This window comes from Homo sapiens, chromosome 20 (genome assembly GCF_000001405.40).
Source record: "Homo sapiens chromosome 20, GRCh38.p14 Primary Assembly".
In the NCBI taxonomy this organism is placed as follows: Eukaryota; Metazoa; Chordata; class Mammalia; order Primates; family Hominidae; genus Homo; species Homo sapiens.
In genome coordinates, this window is record NC_000020.11 from 25,246,465 (window position 1) to 25,270,512 (window position 24,048).

General features: G+C 46.5%; 1 protein-coding gene across 2 annotated transcripts in view, besides 6 other annotated features; it reads left to right on the plus strand.

The window, feature by feature from the left end:
- Window positions 653-906: a silencer, noted in NCBI's record as "fragment chr20:25227753-25228006 (GRCh37/hg19 assembly coordinates)". NCBI's record gives its function as "represses an EF-1alpha promoter that drives an FKBP-Casp9 reporter gene in an ReSE screen in HepG2 liver carcinoma cells {active_cell/tissue: HepG2}" and the evidence as "EXISTENCE:reporter gene assay evidence [ECO:0000049][PMID:32094911]".
- Window positions 925-1,004: a silencer, noted in NCBI's record as "silent region_12743". NCBI's record gives its function as "represses an Ori minimal core promoter by ATAC-STARR-seq in GM12878 lymphoblastoid cells {active_cell/tissue: GM12878}" and the evidence as "EXISTENCE:reporter gene assay evidence [ECO:0000049][PMID:35858748]".
- Window positions 1,185-1,374: a silencer, noted in NCBI's record as "silent region_12744". NCBI's record gives its function as "represses an Ori minimal core promoter by ATAC-STARR-seq in GM12878 lymphoblastoid cells {active_cell/tissue: GM12878}" and the evidence as "EXISTENCE:reporter gene assay evidence [ECO:0000049][PMID:35858748]".
- Window positions 1,385-1,574: a silencer, noted in NCBI's record as "silent region_12745". NCBI's record gives its function as "represses an Ori minimal core promoter by ATAC-STARR-seq in GM12878 lymphoblastoid cells {active_cell/tissue: GM12878}" and the evidence as "EXISTENCE:reporter gene assay evidence [ECO:0000049][PMID:35858748]".
- Window positions 1,621-24,048, plus strand: part of PYGB (glycogen phosphorylase B) — a 49,928-nt gene continuing 27,500 nt past the window's right edge. For both annotated transcript variants that reach the window (NM_002862.4, XM_047440342.1), the window contains exons 1-3: window positions 1,621-1,957; window positions 12,773-12,874; window positions 22,665-22,743. In NM_002862.4, the coding sequence (NP_002853.2) occupies window positions 1,715-1,957; window positions 12,773-12,874; window positions 22,665-22,743 (424 nt within the window). In that variant the 5' untranslated portion in view covers window positions 1,621-1,714. The remainder of the gene's footprint in view (window positions 1,958-12,772; window positions 12,875-22,664; window positions 22,744-24,048) is intronic.
- Window positions 1,655-1,734: an enhancer, noted in NCBI's record as "active region_17665". NCBI's record gives its function as "activates an Ori minimal core promoter by ATAC-STARR-seq in GM12878 lymphoblastoid cells {active_cell/tissue: GM12878}" and the evidence as "EXISTENCE:reporter gene assay evidence [ECO:0000049][PMID:35858748]".
- Window positions 1,885-2,264: a silencer, noted in NCBI's record as "silent region_12746". NCBI's record gives its function as "represses an Ori minimal core promoter by ATAC-STARR-seq in GM12878 lymphoblastoid cells {active_cell/tissue: GM12878}" and the evidence as "EXISTENCE:reporter gene assay evidence [ECO:0000049][PMID:35858748]".

Here is a 24,048-nt window from a genome sequence, read left to right on the forward strand (position 1 = left end):
GGGGGTAATAGCAGGCTATTTGCAGGGATCAGGAGTTAATACGTGTACACTGCAAGTAATGATCAATAAGTGTCAGCGCCTCCATTCTTTGCCAGGTGTGCACCACAGCTGGGGGATTAAACTTTACCACACCACAGCAGATAACATATTTGCATAACTTGCTTTTTGTCTTCTTAAGCTTTCCTTGAACTCAATTCCCCAGAGTGGTAGAAGTGGTCATAGGGCACTATCATTTTTATGACTTCTGAATTGCCAGATCACCCTCAGAGAGATTGCATCAGTGTTCGGAGCTTGCAGCCAAGCTCGACCCCACAGCCCTGCCATCTGTGCCCGAAGTTCGATCTTGTTGGCTCCAGAATCCCTAGGACATAGTGCAGGAGTGAATCCCGAGCTGGAGCTGGGTGGGCTGTGGGGTCATTCCAGATTGATTAACCTCCGACCTCTGAAGTCTGCAGCTGGAAGGGGCTCCAGGTAAGAAGATAACTTTGAAGCATCACACCAGGAAACCTACTGCACCTGGACTTTCATGACATTTCCTGCGGGCAATTTTTACCTCCACGAAATTCAGTAACCTTTGCAGCCCCTTCAGCCCAAGACCACCAGGAGCAAACCTGTGGTCCACAAAATCGGGTGTACTGACCCACTGCAATGAGGGAGCGCCTCCCAAGAACGAAGGGAAAGGCAGAGTTTGAAGGGGTTGAGGGAAGGCAGAGTTTAGGTGACCTTTACATGAAGCAGGGTTCCCACAGGCTGAGGCCAGCAGGACTGTGTTCCGCGGGGCCAAGTGTGGGAAGCTGTGTGCAGACGCCCCCTATCTGGAGCTGCAGCCTGGATTGGGATGACAGAGGCTAAGTCTCGGTTAGTGGCTGAGCTCCCCGGCCAGACGGGCATGTTTCCTTCTCCCTGCTGTAATCTCAAAGCGGACAGCGTCTGCCAGGTGGTTTCGGGAACAGGGTTTCTCCGAGGGCTAGGGGGCTGCGGTCCCTCCGAGGCGGGGTCGTGGTGGCATTTGGCTGTGGCTGCCTCGCGCCCTCGGGAACGGGCGTCTCCAGCTCGCTGGCAGCTGGTTTTCTCCACGTCTGTCATCGGCCTGGAGTGGCAAGCAAATAGCTGGTATTTTCAGAGCCGCCCTGCCCCGGACAGAGAAGACCGGGCCCAGCAGGCGTTGGTGGATGCCTTTCAAGCTGTAATCAGTTTCCCCGAACGTGTACCAGGTCTCGGCCACAGCCCGAGCCCAGCGCGCTCCCGCGGGGCACCTGGTGACCCGGTGCAGGGCGGGAGGGCCGGTCCCAGGAACCCGAGGGCCGGAGGGCAGGGCCCCCTTCCCGCACCGTCCCCGGGCTGGCAGGAGCGGCCACGACGGCACGCTCCGAGGCCCCGGGTCCCTTGCCCCCTCCAGTCGCTCCCACTTTCTGCCGGGCTTGCCCAACGAGGGGGCAAACACCACGCTCAGGTGGCGTGGACAGGTCGCTGCCGCCTCGGACTACACCAGAGATCTCAGCTATGAGCCTGGACGCCCGCCCCGCCCTCCCGAGGCCCCGCCCCGCCCCCCGAGGCCCCGCCCCGGCGCGGCGCGCAGGCGCGGTCCATCCCGCCCGCAGAGCCGCAGTGCCGGGCGCCAGAGCAGCGGCGCCAGAGCAGCTGCACCATCCCGGCGTTCGCGTGTGCCGCCGCTTTCCTCCTCCATCTCTTTTCCTCCGCCTCCGCCGGCGCGATGGCGAAGCCGCTGACGGACAGCGAGAAGCGGAAGCAGATCAGCGTGCGCGGCCTGGCGGGGCTAGGCGACGTGGCCGAGGTGCGGAAGAGCTTCAACCGGCACTTGCACTTCACGCTGGTCAAGGACCGCAATGTGGCCACGCCCCGCGACTACTTCTTCGCGCTGGCGCACACGGTGCGCGACCACCTCGTGGGCCGCTGGATCCGCACGCAGCAGCACTACTACGAGCGCGACCCCAAGGTGAGGCGCTGCCCCGCCCTGTGCGCCCGTGCCCGCTGAGAGGGCGCCGGTCCCGGAGCCGCGCCAGCGGGGGTCTCTGCGGGGCGGCCCGTCGGGCGTTACCTGCGCCCCTAGCCGGCCGGCGGCCAGGCACAGCCGACTGGGGAGTCGCCTGGAAGCCGCAGTCGGCGGGGCCCGGGCGTCCCCTGCGCAGGGCCGCGGCCACGGGTCCGCCCCACTGGGAGCCCGCGCCTGGCGGGGTCCGCCGTCCCCCGCAGATGATGCTGAGCCCGGGAGCCTGGCGGACGTTCCCGGTCTCTTTCTGGCCGTGCGCTTCCGCGCTGGCTGCAGAGCCGGTGCTCCCCGCCCCTGCCTCCAGCCACTCTTTGTTTTCCTGCAGCAGCCTGTGGGAGAAAATGGGACTGGAACCAGGCCTGGGCAGCCTTGTGGGTTGGAATGGGGTGAGCTCGGTAATCTGCAGGGAATTGTGAGACTTTTTTTTGTGTACGCTGCTTAGAAGAAAATCACTGAAGATGCCTGCTTCACGCAGGGAGGGGTACGAAGCTCAGAGATGGAGATGGAGCCCTCGAAGAAGGCTCTGTCTTAGAGGTTCCCACACCTCCCTTGGAGAAATTTGCTTGGGTTGAAGTTGACAGAGATCATCTTACTAATTGTTACTTTTTATATCTTGCAAAAATTTGTTTGAGTAGTGAAACAAAGTCACTGATTGTCCCCGTTACTCTTAACCATGTTTACTATGGGCCTGTGTTCTTGCTGTGTTTTTGGTATTCCTAAATATACATACACATTTTTAAAAAGTATAATGCACATACAGTTTTTTAGATTTTCTGTTTCATTCGTAAACATTTGTAACTTTTTCACTGATAAACAGCTTTGCAGGTCAATGGATAGGATGGTAGTTTTCAGTTTGATAGGTACATGGTAGTCTTGCACAGCCCCCTGTTGCCAGTTTTTTGTTGTTGTCGTTTGCTTTTAAACTCTTGACCATGGAGAATTGTCTTTCTACTACACTAACGTAGAGGGAGAACTGGTGAGGAAAAGACACACTTCCAGACCTGAAGCCACTTGGCAAAGATTTTACTTGCAGTGTACATCTAGGCAGTGAGCACTTGCTTTATGGATGGTATTTTAGAATATTTTTGTAGGGCATTAAGATATGTTTAATACGGTAATTGCTAAGAGATTGACTGCTTTTCCAAACTTATTCTGGGACATTCTTTTTTCTAAAATGGAGATGGTAAAAGGGACAGATTTGTTAGAATACCAACTGGGGCTCTTCATATTTGGTATGCAAAACATAGAAGTGGCAACGAATGGCCAAAACAGGTTATAACAAGGGCTTGGGATGACTTTGCCAGGAAAAGCAGCCAAGAAGCAGTGGCTCCCCCAGAATTCCCTGCTGTTGGGAGAGTTCTGATGCACAGCACCATTTTTTTTTTTTTTTTAATTCTGAGTCTTGCCCTGTAGCGTGAAGCTAGAGTGCAGTGGCGCGATCTCGGCTCAGTGCAACCTCCGCCTCCCGGGTTCAAGCAATTCTCCTGCCTTAGCCTCCCAAGTAGCTGGGATTACAGGCGCCTACCACCACGCCCGGCTAATTTTTTGTATCTTTAGTAGAGACGGGGTTTCACCATGTTGGCCAGGCTGGTCTCAAACTCCTGACCTCGTGATCCGCCCGCCTCGGCCTCCCAAAGTGCAGGAGTTACAGGCGTGAGCCAACGCACCCGACCCGCAACATCATTTTTATTGTCTAAGTGGCGGATGGCAAGGACATAGCTCTGCCTTCACATTCAAGGGCATTTCCTTGGAGCTGGACCAGGACTCAGCTCTACACCTTAGGGTGCCCATTGGAGTATTTATGTATAATCACATCCTGGAGAGGCCAGCGATGGGCTCAGGGATTACGGAAATGACCTTCATGAACAAGATAGTCCCTGCAACAAAACAGGTTTTTTGATCCTCCGTGAGATCTCTTTTGATTGTCTACGTGTGGTGGCTCTGGGTGGAAACCTTTCTCTTAAACCGCACAGTCTGTAAGTCGTAAAGTTGTAAACTTTTAGATCTCACAGTGTGTAAATAAGCTGTGTGCCTATTCTGAATAGGAAGGACATGGAAAATTGGGATTTAACTGCTTCTTTCGCTAATTCATGATGAAAATAAGCTTGCAATCCTTTCTTTGGAAAAGTTACATGCTTGCTGGTGATGGACCAGCAACCAGTCCCACCAGAGCCAATGAGAGGAGGTGTGCTCCCAAGAAAATAACTGCTGTGCCTCCCCCTCAGCCAGAAATGACCTCAGACATTCACCGGCACACTGCAGACTGTGGTAATGTGACACTCTAGAGCTCCTAAATAGAACGCTTTTATTGTTATTTTTGTCTTTTTTTAAATTATGCAAGTCCTGAAGGAAAAATTATTACTGGAGGAAAAATTAGAAAATATAGATAAGCCAGAAGGAAAAAAATTAACTGTAATCCTGTAACCCACTTCTATCGCCCACTTTGTGCTGTAAATATTTTGTGTTCTACATTGTTTTTTCCGTATTGGCAGAAACTTGTTTTTAATACATAAAATAACATTATACTGAACCTATTGTTTCATAACTCTTAGCACTTTATTTGTGGTACATAGCGAAAGAGTAGAAGTTGGGGTGTTCAGAGGAAGATTTGTCAAGCTTTGCCATGCTTGGCAAATCAGCACGTCAAAACATCTGGCTAACATGGAGAGCTTTGTGCTTGGCAAGAGGTGGCGGTTGGTCATGAAGACATTTAATGGATTCTCTGAAGTGGTGGCAAGGTGGCAAGGAGAGTCCAACCTGAAGCTGCAGAGCCTGGGATTGCGCTGCATGGAGAAGAAAGGGTGTGCGTGATTCCACGCTCCTTTTCATCCTGGCCTTTCCATTCGGTCTGTGCAACTGTGGGCTTGGGCGGATTTCTTTGCCATTATTGGCCTCAGTTTTCTCATCTTTAAAATGAGGGGAATCAAGCTGGTGATGTTTCCGAAGTCTGTTGCCATTCTGAAATGTTAGAGTTAAAATGTTTCTATTTCATATTGAATTGACATTCCATCTCTATCCAGAGAGAATTTGAGGATGCTTATGCTAGATACAGCACAAAAGGTTCACATTAGAAGGCCTCAGAGTGAGGGTTGGGGTGGGACAGTGAGGGTCAGGACACAAAACACAGACCAGGATCCTGGCAGTGAAAGCAGCCCATGCCCAGTTATGAGAGTCACGGGATCCCTTCTATAACATCCTGAAAGGACAGTTGCACGGTTTATTCTGTGGGCCTTTGTGAAGCTGTGTTGTCGATGTGCTGAGCCACTGACCTGCAGCACCCCTGCAGTGGATGTAACAATCAGTTTTTGAGACTCTTCCCATAAGCTCCTGGCATGACTACAACACAGATTAAGGAAAAGCAGCTCTACCTTGGGGCCCACACTGCTGTCCTAAATATTCCTAATGAGATAAACACAATGAAATACGATTAATCTTTTGGTTTGGCTGGACCCAGGAGTTAAAGAAGATGATCTAGAGAAGTGTTTTGCAGACCCTTCTGCTCTGTGATCCCCACTTCTGGGATTTGTTTTAATTAGTCAGTTGTGGTACCAGCCTCCGGAATCCTAACACTCCCAATTTTTCTGATGTATTTCCACTTTTATGTGTGAAGTTGAGCTTGCATCTCCTGGGCAGGCTTCCCTGACAGCAGATCGCTCAAAGTCATTTTCTCTGACCAGTAGCTGATGGTGGGTGCTGTTTTGTGTTGCTGACAGCTAGCCACTTGGAAGGTAGGCCTCAGCTGTCATTTTAGCAGATGGAGAAGCCTACAGTGTGTGCCTTCATTTTCTGCAGAAGACAGCCTGGCCTCTGCCCTTGCAGGCTGTGGTGGCTGGTTTTATGTGTCAACTTGGCTGTTGTGCCTAGATAGTAACGTGGATGTCCCTCTGGGGGGGTCGGGGGGTGGTGTTTCCCACACTGACTGAGCATCTTACAATTCAGTTCCGTTCTGATGCTGTCTACCTAGATGTAGCCTCGGATCCCACAGGCTAAAGGCTCAGTCCCACAAGACTTCTCCACCCCAGATGTCAGTTGCACATCAGGACCTCCCTTCTGACCTCTGACCGACAGCCTCCTCAGGTTTGATGATTTGCCAGAATGGCTCATGAAACTCAGGGAAACACTTCACTTGCGTTTACCAATTACTTACAAGGAATACAACCCAGGAACAGCCAGATAGAAGATATGCAGAGGGCAGGTCTGAGGGAGGGTGCAGGGGCTTCCATTCCCTCTGCAGGTGCCACTGTCCCAGCACCTCCAGGATTCACTGAACTGGAAGGAAGCTCTTCCATCCCCTTCAGTTGGGGATTTTATGGAGGCCGCAGTTACCTAGTGTGATTATTGGCCATTGGTGATGAGCTCAGCCTTTAGCCCCTCTCCCTTCACTGGAGGTTGGGGCTGGCGGGAGGGGTGGGCCTGAAACTTCCAACCCTCTAATTAGAGCTGGTTCCCCTGGCAGCCAGCCTCTGCCCTGAGGGGCTTGCCAAAAGTCACCTTTTGGTGACCACATCAGGCGTGGTTGAAAGGGACTTGTTATGAATAACAAAAGACACTTCTTTCATTTTTATTGCTCTTATCACTTAGGAAATTACAAGGGTGTTAGGAGCACAGGCCAGGAAGAACAAATAAGTATATCTCATTACATCACAGTTTCACAGCCTCCCATGGGGGAAGGCCTTGCAGAACAAACCCTGCCACCAGCTACCTTGCACCAGAGCTGCAGCTTGCCTGGGTCTCCAGCCTGCTGGCCCACCCCACTCTGTAGGTTGTGGCCTTGCACTTCAGAATCACTTGAGCCAATTTCTTAAATCTGTCTCTCTCTACACATACCTTACTGTTCTGTGTCTCTGGAGAACCCTGACTAATCCACAGGGGCCGTGGTGGCTTTATAAAATATGGCCGGGCGTGGTGACTCACACCTGTAATCCCAGCACTTTGGGAGGCTGAGGCAGGTGGATCACCTGAGGTCAAAAGTTCGAGACCAGCCTGACCAATATGGTGAAACCTGGTCTCTATTAAAAATACAAAAATTAGCCGGGCGTGGTGGTGGACATCTGCAGTCCCAGCTATTCGGGAGGCTGAGACAGGAGAATTGCTTGAACCAGGGAGCCAAGACTGCGCCATTGCACTCCAGCCTGGGCAACTCTGCCTAAATAAAATAAAATAAAATAAAATAAAATAAAATAAGGTAACCGACCTCACCTCCACATCTCAGCCATATTTCCTTTTAAACTTTATGTGATTTCAGACCCTTAAAAAGTTGCAAGAATAATACAGAGATTTCTTGTAATTCCTGTTGACGCTTCATCCGGATTCCCCAGATGTTAAACATTGCAACACACTTGTTAGGTCATTTTGTCGCTGTAAGTTCATTTTTCTCCGAATCATTTGAAAGTAAGAACCAGCCTGACCAACAAGGTGAAACCCCTTCTTTACTAAAAATACAAAAATTAGCCAGGCATGGTGGTGGGCGCCTGTAGTCCCAGGTACTTGGGGGACTGAGGCAGGAGGATTGCTTGAACCTGGGAGGAGCAGGTTGCAGTGAGCTGAGATCACGCCACTGCATTCCAGCCTGGGCAACGGAGCGAGACTCTGTCTCAAAAAAAAAAAAAAAAACTGAGTCATAGCCTTGTTGCCCCTTCACCCCCAAAAACGGCAGTGAGTACTCCGGAAAAACAGGGAAGCTCTCCTACACACCCACAGTAGAGCAGTTAAACTCTGGACATTTTAATCAACACAGTGCTGTTGTCTGCAAATCTTTTCAGTGTCACCAGCTGTCCTGCTTAATAAATACAAATAAAATGCAATAATACAATTGTAAAAAATACAAATAAATAATTGGGAGAACTTTAGAAGTCTTTTCAGATTATATCTTTTATTATTATTATTATTAAACGGATCAAAGCTTTAAGCCATTTGGAAATTCAAAGCATCCTAAGACATGCAGCAAATAACCGCAGGAGATAGGAGCTGGCTTTTTCTCACCCATGCAGAATGGCATTCTTAGGATACGGTGAAGGGAAGAGAAGTGAACACAGATTTAGAAAGGTAATTGGACAGTAAGAGAAGTTCGGTTAACAGTGTCTTCAACAGTACCTTGAGTAGGAATGACATGTAATTTTAGGTATAGGTAAGTGGCATTTCTCGGCCTACAAACAGTTAAAATGAAAGATTAAAGTAGTGTTTAAAAACGATGACTGGTAGCTCACTAGGTATAAATATAGTTTGACACGGTCCAGATCACTTAGTGTAAGTTGATTAGGCTCTGTCAGTGATAAGGAGAAGGCTCCCATCGCTTTCTGGCTCTGGATTAGTACTGAATAGACTTTTTGTGGAGCTTAATTGCATAGAAGGCGGGAGACAGTGACTTGTGGCAATGTGTGTCATGGAGTGTAGAAGGAATTTGTTTACTACAGAACCAAGTGATCTCTTAAGATCCCCATAAGTTCTAAAGTTCTATAATTCTTTTACATTTGACATTTTCAAAATTGAGCAAACAGACCTGTGTTTGAGTCGTAGGTACTGGAGTGAGAAGGAAATCCACGATCCACGTTGAGAAGCCTGCCCACTGTTCATGGGAAGCCAAGTTTCCCTGGCAGTTAATTCATTAAGAAAGTACCGTGTGACATCACAGGCTGGGAGCTTGAGAGATGTGCTAGCTAATCCTCACATCCTTACAGCAGATACAGTAGTGGATTATCAGATTGCTCTGTGAGCAACTCCCCAGAAGCCCCCTCAGACACAGTGGAGTGGACACTGTGACACTGTCAAGGAAACCAAAGACCAACCTCAGCGTCTGGCAGGTGGGAGGCCCCTCAACATCTCTCCTCCCACAGGACCTCGGTTCCCCTGGATGGTATCTGAGACTGCTCAGCTCACCAGCAGGAGCCAGCAGGTCCAGCCCAGGGAGGTGGCCCCTTTGTGTCTGGAGGGGCTGGGAGCCCCCGCTCCAAGGCCTGGCTGGTGGAACGTGGTGCCCACTGGCCTCTGGCTGGCTCAGTGGCCTGTGTTCCTGTGTCTTATCAGGGCCAGCTCTGTCCATAGTGCCTGGGTGGCAGGGAGGGACACTCTGCCCTGTGAGTCACTCTGTGCCCATGTAGGAACCAGTAGAGGGCGGCTGGTCTGAGGCATGCTGGCACCGACAGAATCGAATACACAAAAGGAGAGTTGCTGTGCTTTCCTGGGGACAGGAGGGGACCGGTTTCAGACCAGATCTGCCTGTAGAATGAGGCTCTTCATCTTGGTGAAAGCAGCCGCCCAACTCTTTTTTTTTTTTTTGAGGTGGAGTTTTGCTCTTGTTGCCCAGGCTGGAGTGCAGTGGCGCGATCTCTACTCACTGCAACCTCCGCCTCCCGGGTTCAGGCGATTCTCCTGCCTCAGCCTTCCGAATAGGTGGGATTACAGGTGTGCACCACCACGCCCAGCTAGTTTTGTATTTTTAGTAGAGACGGGGTTTCATCATGTTGGCCAGGCTGGTCTTGAGCTCCTGACCTCAAGTGATATACCTGCCTCAGCCTCCCAAAGTGCTGGGATTATAGGCATGAGCCATCACACCTGGCTCCAGCTCTTTCTTTTGTTTCCCTGAATGTTGGGAAAGTTCTTTCTTTTTCCACCAGAGTATTAAGACACTAACGTTAAATGAAGACTCTAGTTAAAAATCCCTTCAGAAAAGGGAGAAAAAATTGGTGGTCTCCACAGGCCCAATTCTGTGAATCTCTGTCTGTAAAGAACAAAATGAGGCTCTGCCAGTTGGTGTTACACTCTCTTTTCAGAGTCTGTTAACTCCTAAGGTGTCTTTAGGTGATTGGTATTTGGTGTACTGTTCGTGTTGATCATATTTTCATCTATTTTTGAGCTTTATGTTTTTCTATTATTTGCCTGGTTGTGTAGGCTTTGCATGTGATAAACTCTGTTAAAAAAAAAAAAGTGGAGGGCCTGGCTTGAACCCAGGAGGTGGAGGTTGCAGTGAGCCAAGATTGCACCATTGCATTCCAGCCTGGGCAACAGAGCGAAACTCTGTCTCAAAAAAAAAAAAACAAAAACAAAAACAAAAAACAGGCTGGCTTTAGGCTACTTAACACTTGTTATGTCATATTGCAAGAAGGGACCATGGTAGAAAGATCAATGGCCCAGTTCAATCCCAGGCGGCAGGGCCTCCTTAGAGCAGAGCTGCTGAGCAGGGAGGTTAAGGGATCGTGTTGGCATTTTCAGGCTGAAGCAGGTGAGTCCAGTTCTCCAACCAGCGCTCCCTGAGCAGGGAAGCCCTGTTCATGGTTGCACAAGAGGAGCCAGAGGGGAGTGAGTGGAAAGAGGCTGTCCTGCAGCAGCAGGATTTGGGGTCATGGAAGAGCTAGGTCCCTAGGCTGTTGCTTGGACAAAGCCTATGCCTTTACATGGTTTTTTTCAGAACTGCCACTTGGCAACTTTCTAGGCTTTGCATTTCTCCTTGAAAAGTCTGGTATGGTGAGGGGAACCAGCCTTGCCTGAGTCCTAGCCTAGCCCTGTGCGAGCCCACAGGTGAATGTGGTCCTCTCAGAGGCTGAGTGACTTGCCCAGGTCACCCAGCTAGCCAGGGCAGGGAGCTGGGATGAGACCCCAGCCTGTACCATTCAAGTCTGCATTTTCTTGGCCAGCTCCTCCAGCAAGCCTCTTTTCAGTTTCATGGTTTTCACTCTGAACCATATTAAGGTAAAAGCAAAATAGACACATCTCAGCAAATGATGAAAGTTCTTAAATTGAAACAAGTTGCAGAAAAACCTCAAAGCAGCAAAACACATTGCAGTCCCCAAGGACAGAGCCTGTGGCCCGGCAGGCCCTGGGCAGTGCCTTGGGGGCTGTGCTTCAGCAGGAGGCTGCAGAACCCTCGATGTCTGCATGCAACCTGGACAATTGGAGACGCACAGGCTTCGAGTCTAGGCCCAGCACTTCCCGTGTCAGTCCTGTCCCTTACAAACAGAGATAATCAAGCTCTTGGGACATAACTGGTAAACTTTTTCCCCACAGTAGAAAAGTTCTAAGTAGAAGTTAGGAACTTTTGCAGAGAGAGCAAACTACAACCTAAAAATCCACATTTTAGCCAGGTGTGGTGGCATGCACCTGTAGTGCCAGCTGCTTGGGAGGCTGAGACGCGAGGATCACTTGAGGCCAGGAGTTTGCAGCCAGCCTGGGCAACATAGTGAGACCGTCATCTCTTAAAAAAAAATATACATTTTTAGTTAAAGGCAAAGTAAAAACATTCTGGTCATGTTCCTGGCCTGTCAGCTTTTTATAAAACCTCTTGTTAATACTTGACCCACAGTATTTTCTCAGATAGCCAGGGTCTAGTTGGGCTCAGTATGATTTCGCACTGGTTAATAAACCCTGCCTGGACAGTGCCTGTGGCTTCCTCTGCCAGAGGGGGGAGGCAGGTGCTATGGAAACCCCATAGAATATTAAGTTCGTTCAAATGTAGTGTAAATAAAATCCAGCATGATGAAAGTCCACAAGAGGCCTGACTGTGAGTGACAGCAGCAGTAGTTGTACTTATAGCGGCTATGAGGACTCATTAATTATGCTGCTGTAATTCCTGTGACGTAAAGGACTTTGGAATTTATACAGTAATGTAGAAGCCTATATTCAAATGATCAAAAAAGTAAAAACAGGCCATTGAAGACAGAGCTATCATTTGTGTGTGTGTGTTCTTTCAATTTGTAGATTTAGGTATTTATAGAGTATTCTTAAGTTATGTATTAAAAACTTTATGGACCTCACCGACGACCCATGTAGAATTCCAGGGAATCACTACATGGTGCCGGTCAGCGTGGTCAGCTATCTCCACTGTCAAGTTGCTGCCGTTTCCTTTCTGTGCTCCTCAGCAGGGTGTCGCTACATCCACCCCACCCTCAAGGTGGCAGACAGGGAAGTAAGCTCCTCCTCCTGGAGTGAAGAATATCAGAAAGTGTTTGGCCCCTGGTTAAAACCACCAAAGCAATTAGTAAATATTTCAGGGGAGATGTTGGCTGTGCACATATCCTGTTAGTCCTTGGAGTTGTGCCCACTGATCTTAGCATTCAGCCCTGGCCGCTGCAGGCCCGTGGATGGCCATGAGAAGTACTCGGTAGAGAAAGTAGGGCACCTAGAACCCCGCTCAGGGCCCAGGAGGCACTGCATGGGTGGCCGTCCTTGATACAGCACCTCACTGGCATAGAGCTGGCTCATGTGGCAACCCCAAGCCAGCCAGCCAGCAGGCATCAGCCAAGAGACTTCTGCTGGGGAACATGGATGCATCCATTCAGCCGTCTGTGCTGCGTTCATTGGTGCTTCACGTGGGTGCTAGAAGTTGTGCTCAGGGCTTTCCATTGAGTACTTGAAGACATGGCCTGTGTTACATCTGTGTTAGAGATGTGAAGTAACTTGCCCAAGGGCACATGGCTGGTAAGAGGCTGAGCTAAGTGCAGACCTGGGTCTGTCCAGTTCTGGGTGCCTTGGCCCCAACCACCAACCTGCCCTGCCTCCCCACACATCATGGAAAGTTAGTGTGTGTTCATCCAGGGACTGGAGGGTCAGGGAAGAGAAGGCCGTGTTGAGGAGGGGTCTCCTGGGTGGGCTGCTTTTGGGGGCTGCGGTCAGCAGGCTGCCTGACAGAGCAAGCCCAGTTTTTGTGCATGGGGTTGACATAAATGAAATCCCGAGTGGGGGCTTGGCTTCATGGGTCGTGTCATCTCTGTAACCTTCCTAAAGTGTAGAATGGAATGAGAAATCTTATTCTTTCTTCTGCTTCCTCAGCGCATTTATTATCTTTCCCTGGAATTCTACATGGGTCGCACGCTGCAGAACACGATGGTGAACCTGGGCCTTCAGAATGCCTGCGATGAAGCCATCTATCAGGTACAGAGCCTCATGGCCGGGCTTCTGGGTGGCCCCTCGTGGTGCTTTGAGGTCTGAATCCATTTTCCCACAGAGGTGAGCCCTGATGTTAAGACTAGCAGCTATCTGGGAATCGGGAGATTTACGGCCTGTTCTCCCCTCCTGGAAGGAATGGGTTGGCGGGGCTGCTCTCTGTTTTTGAGAGTAGAAAGTAAGAATCGAACGGACCGCAAGCGTGGGGTTGAATTGGGATGCGAAGGTGTGGAGGTTCTAGAGGCCATCCCACACCCCACCCCACCTCCGGGGCGGATTTAGAGCACTGCACCAGTGGTTGGTATTATTCCATTTTGACTTCATCAAACTGCTAACCCATGTCTGGTTTCCCTCCCTCCACCCCTGAGATGACCTCCGGAGCTCACCCTAGTTGTCTAGTTGTAAAAGCACTATTTCTCCCCTAAAAACAAAACCTGCCTTTTCTTGAGAGTTCTTCATTAGCACTTGTTCACTTTGAACTTAATCCTTTCACAGTTCCTTTGTGGTTTTAGAGCAGAGCAGCCATTGGCTTTTTGGTCTGTCTTCGCTTCCCTTCCCAGCTGAGTCTCTAGAGTATAACCTTTTACCTGCGCATAGATGGGTGCCTTCATGGTGGGGCCCCTCCACCTCAGCGCCCTGCCACCGCCTTTGCTTTGCTTGGGTTTGGATGTGTGTGGGAGGAGTGGGGGTGTTTTGTTGGGGGCAAATGTCTTGCATGGCTGGGAGGCGGCTCAACATTGCCTGGGGCTCCGTCTCCCCCTGCAGGACCTCATAGCAGTGTCTGTGCTCAACAAAATGCAACAAAAACTTCACTCCGCATGTTCGAAATTAGCTAATGGTGCTAAAGGTTACCCTGGCAGGTGACTTGTCATTTACGTCTGTTTACTGAGTGTTAACATTAGGGCATGTCTGTAAGAAGTACAGAACATGTAATATCTTAGTCTTGTCTTTGGATTTTACCATTATAGAATGCATTTTCTTTTTTGAAACACTTTCTGCAGTTCTTACATATAGTAAAAATTTTAGGGAATAGTTTGCCTCATAAACATGCAATATGTTTCTAATTTTTATTCACAGAAAATGAATGTTAATTATAAAAATTTAGAAATTGCGGGCAAGCATGTATCCTTTTAAACTTTGTATACTTGATGGGAGGTTCCAAGATGGCTGAATAGGAACAGCTCCAGTCTACAGCTCTCAGCGTGAGTGATGCAGAAGATGGGTGATTTCTGCATTTCCAACTGAGGTACTGGGTTCATCTCACTGGGGCTTGTCGGACTGTGGGTGTAGCCCACCGAGCGTGAGAGCATGAGCTAAAGCAGGGCGAGGCATTGCCTCACCCGGGAAGCACAAGGGATCAGGGAATTCCCTTTCCTAGCCAAGGGAAGCTGTGACCAATGGCACCTGGAGAATCAGATCACTCCCACCCTAATATTCCACTTTTCCAACGGTCTTAGCAAACGGCACACGAGGAAATTATATCCCGCACCAGGCTCAGAGGGTCCCACGCCCACGGAGCCTCACTCATTGCTAGCACAACAGTATGAGATTGAACTGCAAGGCGGCAGTGAGGCTTGGGGAGGGGCGTCCGCCATTGCTGAGGCTTGAGTAGGTAAACAGAGCAGCCGGGAAGCTTGAACTGGGTGGAGCCCACCACAGCTCAAGTAGGCCTGCCTGCCTCTGTAGACTCCACCTCTGGGGGCAGGGCATAGCTGAACAAAAGGCAGCAGAAACTTCTGCAGACAAATGTCTCTGTGTGACATCTTTGAAGAGAGTAGTGTTTCTCCCAGTACAGAGTTTGAGATCTGAGAATGGACAGACTGCTTCCACAAGTGGGTCCCTGACCCCCGAGTAGCCTACCTAACTGGGAGGCACCTCCCAGTAGGGGCCGACTGACACCTCACACAGCCGGGTGCCCCTCTGAGACGAAGCTTCCAGAGGAACGATCAGGCAGCAACGTTTGCTGTTCTGCAGTATTCACTGTTCTGCAGCCTCTGCTGGTGATACCCAGGCAAACAGGGTCTGGAGTGGACCTCCAGCAAACTCCAGCAGACCTGCAGCTGAAGGTCCTGACTGTTAGAAGGAAAACTAACAAACAGAAAGGACATCCACACCAAAACCCCGTCTGTACGTCACCATCATCAAAGACCAAAGGTAGATAAAACCACAAAGATGGGGAGAAACCAGAGCAGAAAAGCTGAAAATTCTAAAAATCAGAGTGCCTCTTCTCCTCCAAAGGAACGCAGCTCCTCGCCAGCAATAGAACAAAGCTGGACGGAGGATGACTTTGATGAGTTGAGAGGAGAAGGCTTCAGACGATCAAACTTCTCCGAGCTAAAGGAGGATGATCGAACCCATCACAAAGAAGCTAAAAACCTTGAAAAAAGATTAGACGAATGGCTAACTAGAATAACCAGTGCAGAGAAGTCCTTAAATGACCTGACGGAGCTGAAAACCATGGCACGAGAACTACATGATGCATGCACAAGCTTCAGTAGCCAATTCGATCAACTGGAAAAAAGGGTATCAGTGATTGAAGATCAAATGAATGACATGAAGTGAGAAGAGAAGTTCAGAGAAAACAGAGTAAAAAGAAATGAACAAAGCCTCCAAGAAATATGGGACTATGTGAAGAGACCAATCTACGGCTGATTGATGTATCTGAAAGTGATGGGGAGAATGGCACCAAGTTGGAAAACACTCTTCAGGATATTATCCAGGAGAACTTCCCCAACCTAGCAAGGCAGGCCAACACTCAAATACAGGAAATACAGAAAACGCCACAAAGATACTCCTCGAGAAGAGCAACTCCAAGGCTCATAATTGTCAGATTCACCAAAGTTGAAATGAAGGAGAAAATGTTAAGGGCAACCAGAGAGAAAGGTTGGATTACCCGCAAAGGGAAGCCCATCAGATTAACAGCGGATCTCTTCGCAGAAACTGCAAGCCAGAAGAGAGTGGGGGCCAATGTTCAGCATTCTTAAAGAAAAGAATTTTCAACCCAGAATTTCATATCCAGCCAAACTAAGCTTCATAAGTGAAGGAGAAATAAAATCCTTTACAGACCAGCAAATGCTGAGAGATTTTGTCACCACCAGGCCTGCTCTAAAAGAGCTCCTGAAGGAAGCACTAAACATGGAAAGGAACAGCCGGTACCAGCCACTGCAAAAACATGCCAAATTGTAAAGACCATCAAAGCTAGGAAGAAACTGTATCAGCTACCGGGCAGAATAACCAGCTAACATCATAATGACAGGATCAAATTCACATATAACAATATTAACCTTAAATGTAAATGGGCAAAATGCTCCATTTTGACTTGACTGGATAAAGAGTCAAGACCCATCAGTGTGCTGTATTCAGGAGACCCATCTCACATGCGGAGACACACATAGGCTCAAAATAAAGGGATGGAGGAAGATCTACCAAGCAAATGGAAAACAAAAAAAAGCAGGGGTTGCAATCCTAGTCTCTGATAAAACAGACTTTAAACCAACAAAGATCAAAAGAGACAAAGAAGGCCATTACTTAATGGTAAAGGGATCAATTCAACAAGAAGAGCTAACTATTCTAAATACATATGCACCCAATACAGGAGCACCCAGATTCATAAAGCAAGTCCTTAGAGACCTACAAAGAGACTTAGACTCCCACACAATAATAATGGGAGACTTTAACACCCCACTGTCAACATTAGACAGATCAACGAGACAGAAAGTTAACAAGGATACCCAGGAATTGAACTCAGCTCTGCACCAAGCGGACCTAATAGATATCTACAGAACTCTCCACCCCAAATCAACAAAATATACATTCTTCTCAGCACCACATCGCACTTATTCCAAAATTGACCACATAGTTGGAAGTAAAGCACTCCTCAGCAAATGTAAAAGAACAGAAATTATAACAAACTGTCTCTCAGACCACAGTGCAATCAAACTAGAACTCAGGATTAAGACACTCACTCAAAACCACACAACTACATGGAAACTGAACAACCTGCTCCTGAATAATCACAAAAGAACTAGAGAAGCAAGAGCAAACATTCAAAAGCTAGCAGAAGGCAAGAAATAGTAACTAAGAGCAGAACTGAAGGAGATAGAGACACAAAAAACTCTTAAAAAAATCGAAGACTCCAGGAGCTGGTTTTTTGAAAAGATCAACAAAATTGATAGACCGGTAGCAAGACTAATAAAGAGGAAAAGAGAGAAGAATCAAATAGATGCAATAAAATATGATAAAGGGGATGTCACCACTGATGCCACAGAAATACAAACTACCATCAGAGAATACTATAAACACCTCTATGCAAATAAACTAGAAAATCTAGAGGAAATGGATAAATTCCTGGACACATACACCCTCCCAAGACTAAACCAGGAAGAAGTTGAATTCCTGAATAGACCAATAACAGGCTTTGAAATTGAGGCAATAATTAATAGCCTAGCAACCAAAAAAAGTCCAGGACCAGAGGGATTCACAGCTGAATTCTACCAGAGGTACAAGGAGGAGCTGCTACCATTCCTTCTGAAACTATTCCAATCAATAGAAAAAGAGAGAATCCTCCCTAACTCATTTTATGAGTCCAGCATCATCCTGATACCAAAGCCTGGCAGAGACAACCAAAAAAGAGAATTTTAGACCAATATCCCTGATGAACATTGATGCAAAAATCATAGTAAAATACTGGCAAACCAAATCCAGCAGCACATCAAAAAGCTTATCCACCATGATCAAGTGGGGTTCATCCCTGGGATGCAAGGCTGGTTCAACATATGCAAATCAACAAACGTAATCCATCATATAAACAGAATCAAAGACAAACCATATGATTATCTCAATTGATGCAGAAAAGGCCTTCAACAAAATTCAACAGCACTTCATGCCAAAAACTCTCAATAAACTAGGTATTGATGGAACATATCTCAAAATAATAAGAGCTATTTATGACATACCCACAGCCAATATCATAGTGAATGGGCAAAAACTGCAAGCATCCCCTTTGAAAACTGGCAGAAGACGGATGCCCTCTCTCACTACTCCTATTCAACATAGTGTTGGAAGTTCGGGCCAGGGCATTCAGGCAGGAGAAAGAAATAAAGGGTATTCAGTGAGGAAAAGAGGAAGTCAAATTGTCCCTGTTTGCTGATGACATATTTGTATATTTAGAAAACCCCATCATCTCAGCCCCAAATCTCCTTAAGCTGATAAGCAACTTCAGCAAAGTCTCAGGATACAAAATCAATGTGCAAAAATCACAAGCATTCCTATACACCAATAAACAGACAAACAGAGGGCCAAATCATGAGTGAACTCCCATTCACAATTGCTTCAAAGAGAATAAAATACCTAGGAATCCAACTTACAAGGGATGTGAAGGACCTCTTCAAGGAGAACTACAAACCACTGTTCAGGGAAATAAAGGACGACACAAACAAATGGAAGAACATTCCATGCTCATGGATAGGAAGAATCAATATCTTGAAAATGGTCCTACTGCCCAAGGTAATTTATAGATTCAACGCCATCCCCATCAAGCTACCAATGACTTTCTTCACAGAACTGGAAAAAACTACTTTAAAGTTCATATGGAACCAAAAAAGAGCCCGCATCGCCAAGACAATCCTAAGCCAAAAGAAGAAAGCTGGAGGCATCATGCTACCTGACTTCAAACTATACTACAAGGCTACAGTAACCAAAACAGCATGGTACTGGTACCAAAACAGAGATATAGACCAATGGAACAGAGTAGAGCCCTCAGAAATAATACCACACATCTACAACCATCTGATCTTTGACAAACCTGACAAAAGCAAGCAATGGGGAAAGGAGTCCCTATTTAATAAATGGTGCTGGGAAAACTGGCTAGCCATATGTAGAAAGCTGAGATACCTAGAAATGGAATTGCTGGATCATATGGCAGTTCCATTCTTAATTTTTTTTTTGGAACCACCAAAATGTTTGCCACAGCAGTAGCACCATTTTACATTCCTACCAAAAGGACACAAGAGTTCCAGTTTCTCTACATCCTCACCAATGCTTCTTCTCTGTTTTTTGACAGTAGTCATTCTAAATGGGTGTAAAATGGTATGTTATAGTTTTTATTTGCATGTTCCTGATAACTAATGATGCTGAGCATCTTTTCACGTGCTTGTGGGCCATTTGTATATCTTGTTTGAAGAAAAGCCTATTCAATTCATTTACTCATTTTAAATCAGGTTGTTTGTTTTCTTGTTGTTGAATTTTTTTTTTTTTTTTTTTTGAAATGGAGTCTTGCTCTGTCGCCCAGGCTGGAGGGCAGTGGCGTGATCTCGGCTCACTGCAGGCTTCACCTCCCGGGTTCACACCATTCTCTTACCTCAGTCTCCCGAGTAGCTGGGACTGCAGGCACCTGCCACCACGCCCGGCTAATTTTTTTGTATTTTTAGTAGAGACAGGGTTTCACCATGTTAGCCAGGATGGTCTTGATCTCCTGACCTTGTGATCCACCCGCCTTGGCCTTCCAAAGTGCTGGGATTACAGGCGTGAGCCACCATGCCCGGCCGATTTTTGTTGTTGAATTTTAAGAATTCTCTATTTGTCCTAGATATTAATAGCGTATCAGATATGTGATTTGTGGATATTTTCTCCCATTCTATGGCTTGTCTTTTTACTGTGTTGATAGTATATATTACTCTATATATAAAGATGAGGTTTCACCATGTTGGTCAGGCTGTTCTCAAACTCCTGACCTCAAGTTATCTGCCTGCCTTGGCCTCCCAAAGTGCTGGGATTTCAGGCGTGTGCCACTGCGCCTGGCTGATAGTATCTTTTGATTCACAAAAGTTTTTAATTTTATTAAGTCTAGTTTGTCTATTTTTCCTTTTGTTGCCTGTAAGTTTGGTGTCATATAGATCAATTGATTTTTTTTTTTTTAAAGGAAATAGGTACCAAAACAATTCAGTGGAGAACGATGTCTTTTCAACAAATGGTATTGGGATATTTGGATATCTACATGCAAATAAATGAAATCGAACCCCTACCTCACATTACATACAAAAATTAGCTCAAAATGGCTCAAAGACCTAAATATAAGAGCTAAAAGAATACAACTTTTAGAAAAATATATAGGGATCAATCTTCATGACCTTGGATTAGAATGATTTCTTAGATATGACACCAAAAACCCAAGCAACGAAAGAAAAAATAGATACATTGGACTTCATCAAAATTAAAAACTTTTGTGCATTAAATAAAGACAACCTACAAAATGAGAGAAAATATTTATAAATCCTAAATCTGATAAGAGTCTAGTATCCAGAATATATGTAAAGAACTCTGACAACCACAAAAAGACAACCCAATTGAAAAATGGACAAAAAGACTTGGATGTTTCTCCAAAGATGATATCCACATAGCACAAAAAGATGCTAAATGTGATTAGCTATGAGGGAAATGCAAATCAAAACCACAATGAGACGCCGCTGTATTCCCACAAGAATGGCTATAATCATAAACACAGAGAACAAGTGTTGGTGAGGATATAGAGCAGTTGGTGTGACTGTCAAATCTTGCAGTCACTTTGGAAAATAGTCTGCTAGTTACTAAAAAAGTTAAGCATAGAATTCTCATGTAGCCTAGCAATTCCATTCCACGGTACAGGTCTCAGAGAAATGAAAACATATGTCTACATGAAAAGCTGTATATGAATTTCACAGCAGCATTATTCATAACAGCCAAAAGTGGAAACATCCAAATGTTTATCAATTGATAGGGTAGGTAAACAAAATGTGGGCTAGCCATACAATGGAATAGTACACAGCAGTACAAAGACGGGAAGGGCTGACACATGGCACAACATGGATGAAGCTTGAAAACATGCTTATTGGAAGAAGCCATGAAATATCCAAAATAGGTAGATCCATAGAGATGGAGAGTAGATCAGTGATTGACAGAGGTGGGGGAAATAGGTTATGACTGCTGATGGGCACGGGGCTGCTTTTTGGTATGATGGTTTGGAATTAGTGGTGATGGTTGCACAACTCTGTGAACATACACTTCTAAAAGGCGAATTTTACGGTTAATGAATTATATCTCAATAAAGAGATAAAGGTTATTGGGTGTACTGCAGTGCTCTTTTTCTGTCTTCAGTTCAGAAGCCCACTGCAGCAGAGTTTTGGACTTTGTCAGCTACTTTTTGTGTCATTGTTGTTGTTGTTGAGACAGGGTCTTGCTCTGTCACCCAGGCTGGAGTGCAATGATACGATCACGGCTCACTGTAGCCTCAACCTCCCGGGCTCAAGCCATCCTTCCGCCTCAGCCTCCCGAGTAGCTGGGACTGTAGGCGTGCACCACCGTACCCAGCTAATTTATTTTTTATTTTTAGTAGAGACATCTCATTATGTTGCCCAGGCTGGTCTTGAACTTCTAAGCTCAAACGATCCTCCCACCTTGGCCTCCTAAAGTGTTGGGATGACAGGCTTGAGCCACCGCACCCAGCCTTTTTATGTCTTTCTCGAATGCTCACAAAATCAAGGTGACATTTGCCCTCCTAGGTAGGAAGAGTGTGCTGTAGGCACTCAATTTAAAAACAGGAAGGAACTAAACATCTTTGATTATGTTGACTCGTAGCCTATCTTTAGAAAAATATGTAGAGATTTTTTAAAAATTTAATGGATTTTTGAATTTAATAGATTTTTTATGAACAAGAGGTTTTATGGTTGGTTAAGTTTAGACCATAAACTTAGAAGTTTTCTGGTCGGTTATGTTGTAGTTAAACTTATTTCTTAACTTTGAGCCAGTAATGCATTATTGAGTAAATCCTAGCACCCGCCCCCCCCCCATATCCAAAATATTGTTGGTGGAATGTACCCTTTGAAATTGCTTTACGAATTAAGTTCAAGTCACAGTAATTTGAAATTTTACCCTGAATCAAATTACTGTATGTGTCAATATCATTCAGTTGACTTAGTGTATACTAAATCATTTGTAACTTTGCTGTTGTTATTTAAAACACTACCACTCTTCTCAATGGATATTTTTTTGGTTTCAAAAATGTCCTTTTTTTTTTTAATTAAACTTTGTTGTTTATGTTCATAAACATGTATTGGGTTTATTATTTTTAAATGAATTCATATGTATACTTTAAAAAGGTCTGCATTTTAATTTGTAATTTGATAAATATCAATATATGTAATTCAAATCAACAAAAGCTCTTTGGATCCTTCTGAGACCAAAAAGTTTAAAGTCTACCAGTCCAGGTAATGTGAGCAATTTGTCAAGTTCGTGCACTAAAGCCAGATTAATGGAATATTTATCCATATGCCATAATGAGAGTACTGAGTTTGGCTTCTGGAATGGCTTTAAGTGTCAATCGTGATTTTATTGCTTTTTCTCTAATTTTTAGCATAACGTATCTGTTTCACAACATTGTTTGAATACAATTGGAATCACCACAGGAAAAGTGCTTTTAGGTTTTAGTTTAAAAATATGTCACGTAAATATCGCCCATGTGAAATTAGAGAATGACAGAACCATTAGTTTCATTTTTAGGATACATGTTATAATTTGTTCACTGTTAATAGGTTAACTACCTGGCAATAAATGTTTTTGAAATATTTGGAAACTTTCATTTCCATGCATTGATTTAACATCAAATTTTAACATTGAATTTTCAAGTCTAACAGAACCCAGACTCTAACTTTTAGCATAAGCTCACAAGACTTACACATCTTTCAGCCTGTCATTCAAGGGAAAATATTGAGTAACATTAAAATGCTGCCTGTGTTTTTGTTTGCAGTTGGGGTTAGACTTGGAGGAACTCGAGGAGATAGAAGAAGATGCTGGCCTTGGGAATGGAGGCCTGGGGAGGCTGGCAGGTAAGTTGCCCCATCCAGGAGGAGCTCTCTCGGACCCGTTGGCTTGGTTGGAGGCCACGTGGTGAGGCCAGGGTCAGGTAAATTGGCCTCAGGGTAAATTGGCTTTGAGTGGATGGGCCAGTGTGTTCTTCAGATTGAAATCTTGCCACTAGTGGGGGGAAAGGGGGAAAATGTATGTTTTCTTTCACACAAGGGACGTGTCATCATTATCACGAAGACCAATCTTGCCAGCATGGAGTAAGCTGGTGCTGGGAGGGGCTCCCGATATGCTGACCACTTTCCAGGGCACAAGAGCCAGTGATTGGCAGACAGCCCAAAGGATGGAAAGATGATTTCTGAACGTGGCCCTGCTTGCAGCAGGCAGTTTCAACTCTGATACAGTCAGCAGATTGCCTTGAAATAACAGGGCTTTGAGGGTCTTCAGCCCTCTCCACCTCCCGGCCTTTGTGACATGTGATGGGTCACCACTGTCTTCCTGTGAGGTCCCTTTTCATCAAATGCAAAACTGGGCTTCCTACGCTCAAGGGAAGCTCCAGCCTCTTTTGTCCCCATCTCCTGACAGCCCCAGGGGTGGCCATTCACCGCACATCTCATCTCCAAGCTGGAGACTGTGGACTGCTCCCTCCCCGGCCCCGAGACCTGCTTCCTTTTGGGGTGTTCCAGGTCCTTGGGCTTTCCCAGTCACCTTGCCTGCCCCTTGCCTTCTCCCTCCATCCTTCTCCATGGCCAGATATGAGTAGAGCCTTTGCCTTCTGCCCACAGGGTCCTGTACCCACAGACCCAGGCAGCACTGAGCCCGCCATGGCTTGATGTGCTTCCCTGCTGCAGGCGAGTCCCCAGAACAAGAGTCCGCGAGGCTCCATCATCCCTCTCCCTCAGCAGAGGGCCTGACAGGCATCTGTGTGTTCCCTGGATTGGGCATTTTATTTTAGTTACTAGTGTTCCAGGTGGGTGTTTTTTTGATTTTTTTAATCCTGAAGTTTTTTTTGTTTTGTTTTGTTTTTTTTTTTTTTGAGATGGAGTCTCACTCCGTCGGCCAGGCTGGAGTGCAGTGGGTGATCTCGGCTCACTGCAAGCTCCGCCTCCCGGTTTCACGCCATTCTCCTGCCTCAGCCTCCCCAAGTAGCTGGGACTACAGGTGCCCGCCACCATGCCTGGCTAATTTTTTGTATTTTTAGTAGAGACGGGGTTTCACCGTATTAGCCAGGATGGTCTCAATCTCCTGACCTCGTGATCTGCCCGCCTCAGCCTCCTAAAGTGTTGGGATTACAGGCATGAGCCACCACGCCCAGCCAATCCTGAAGT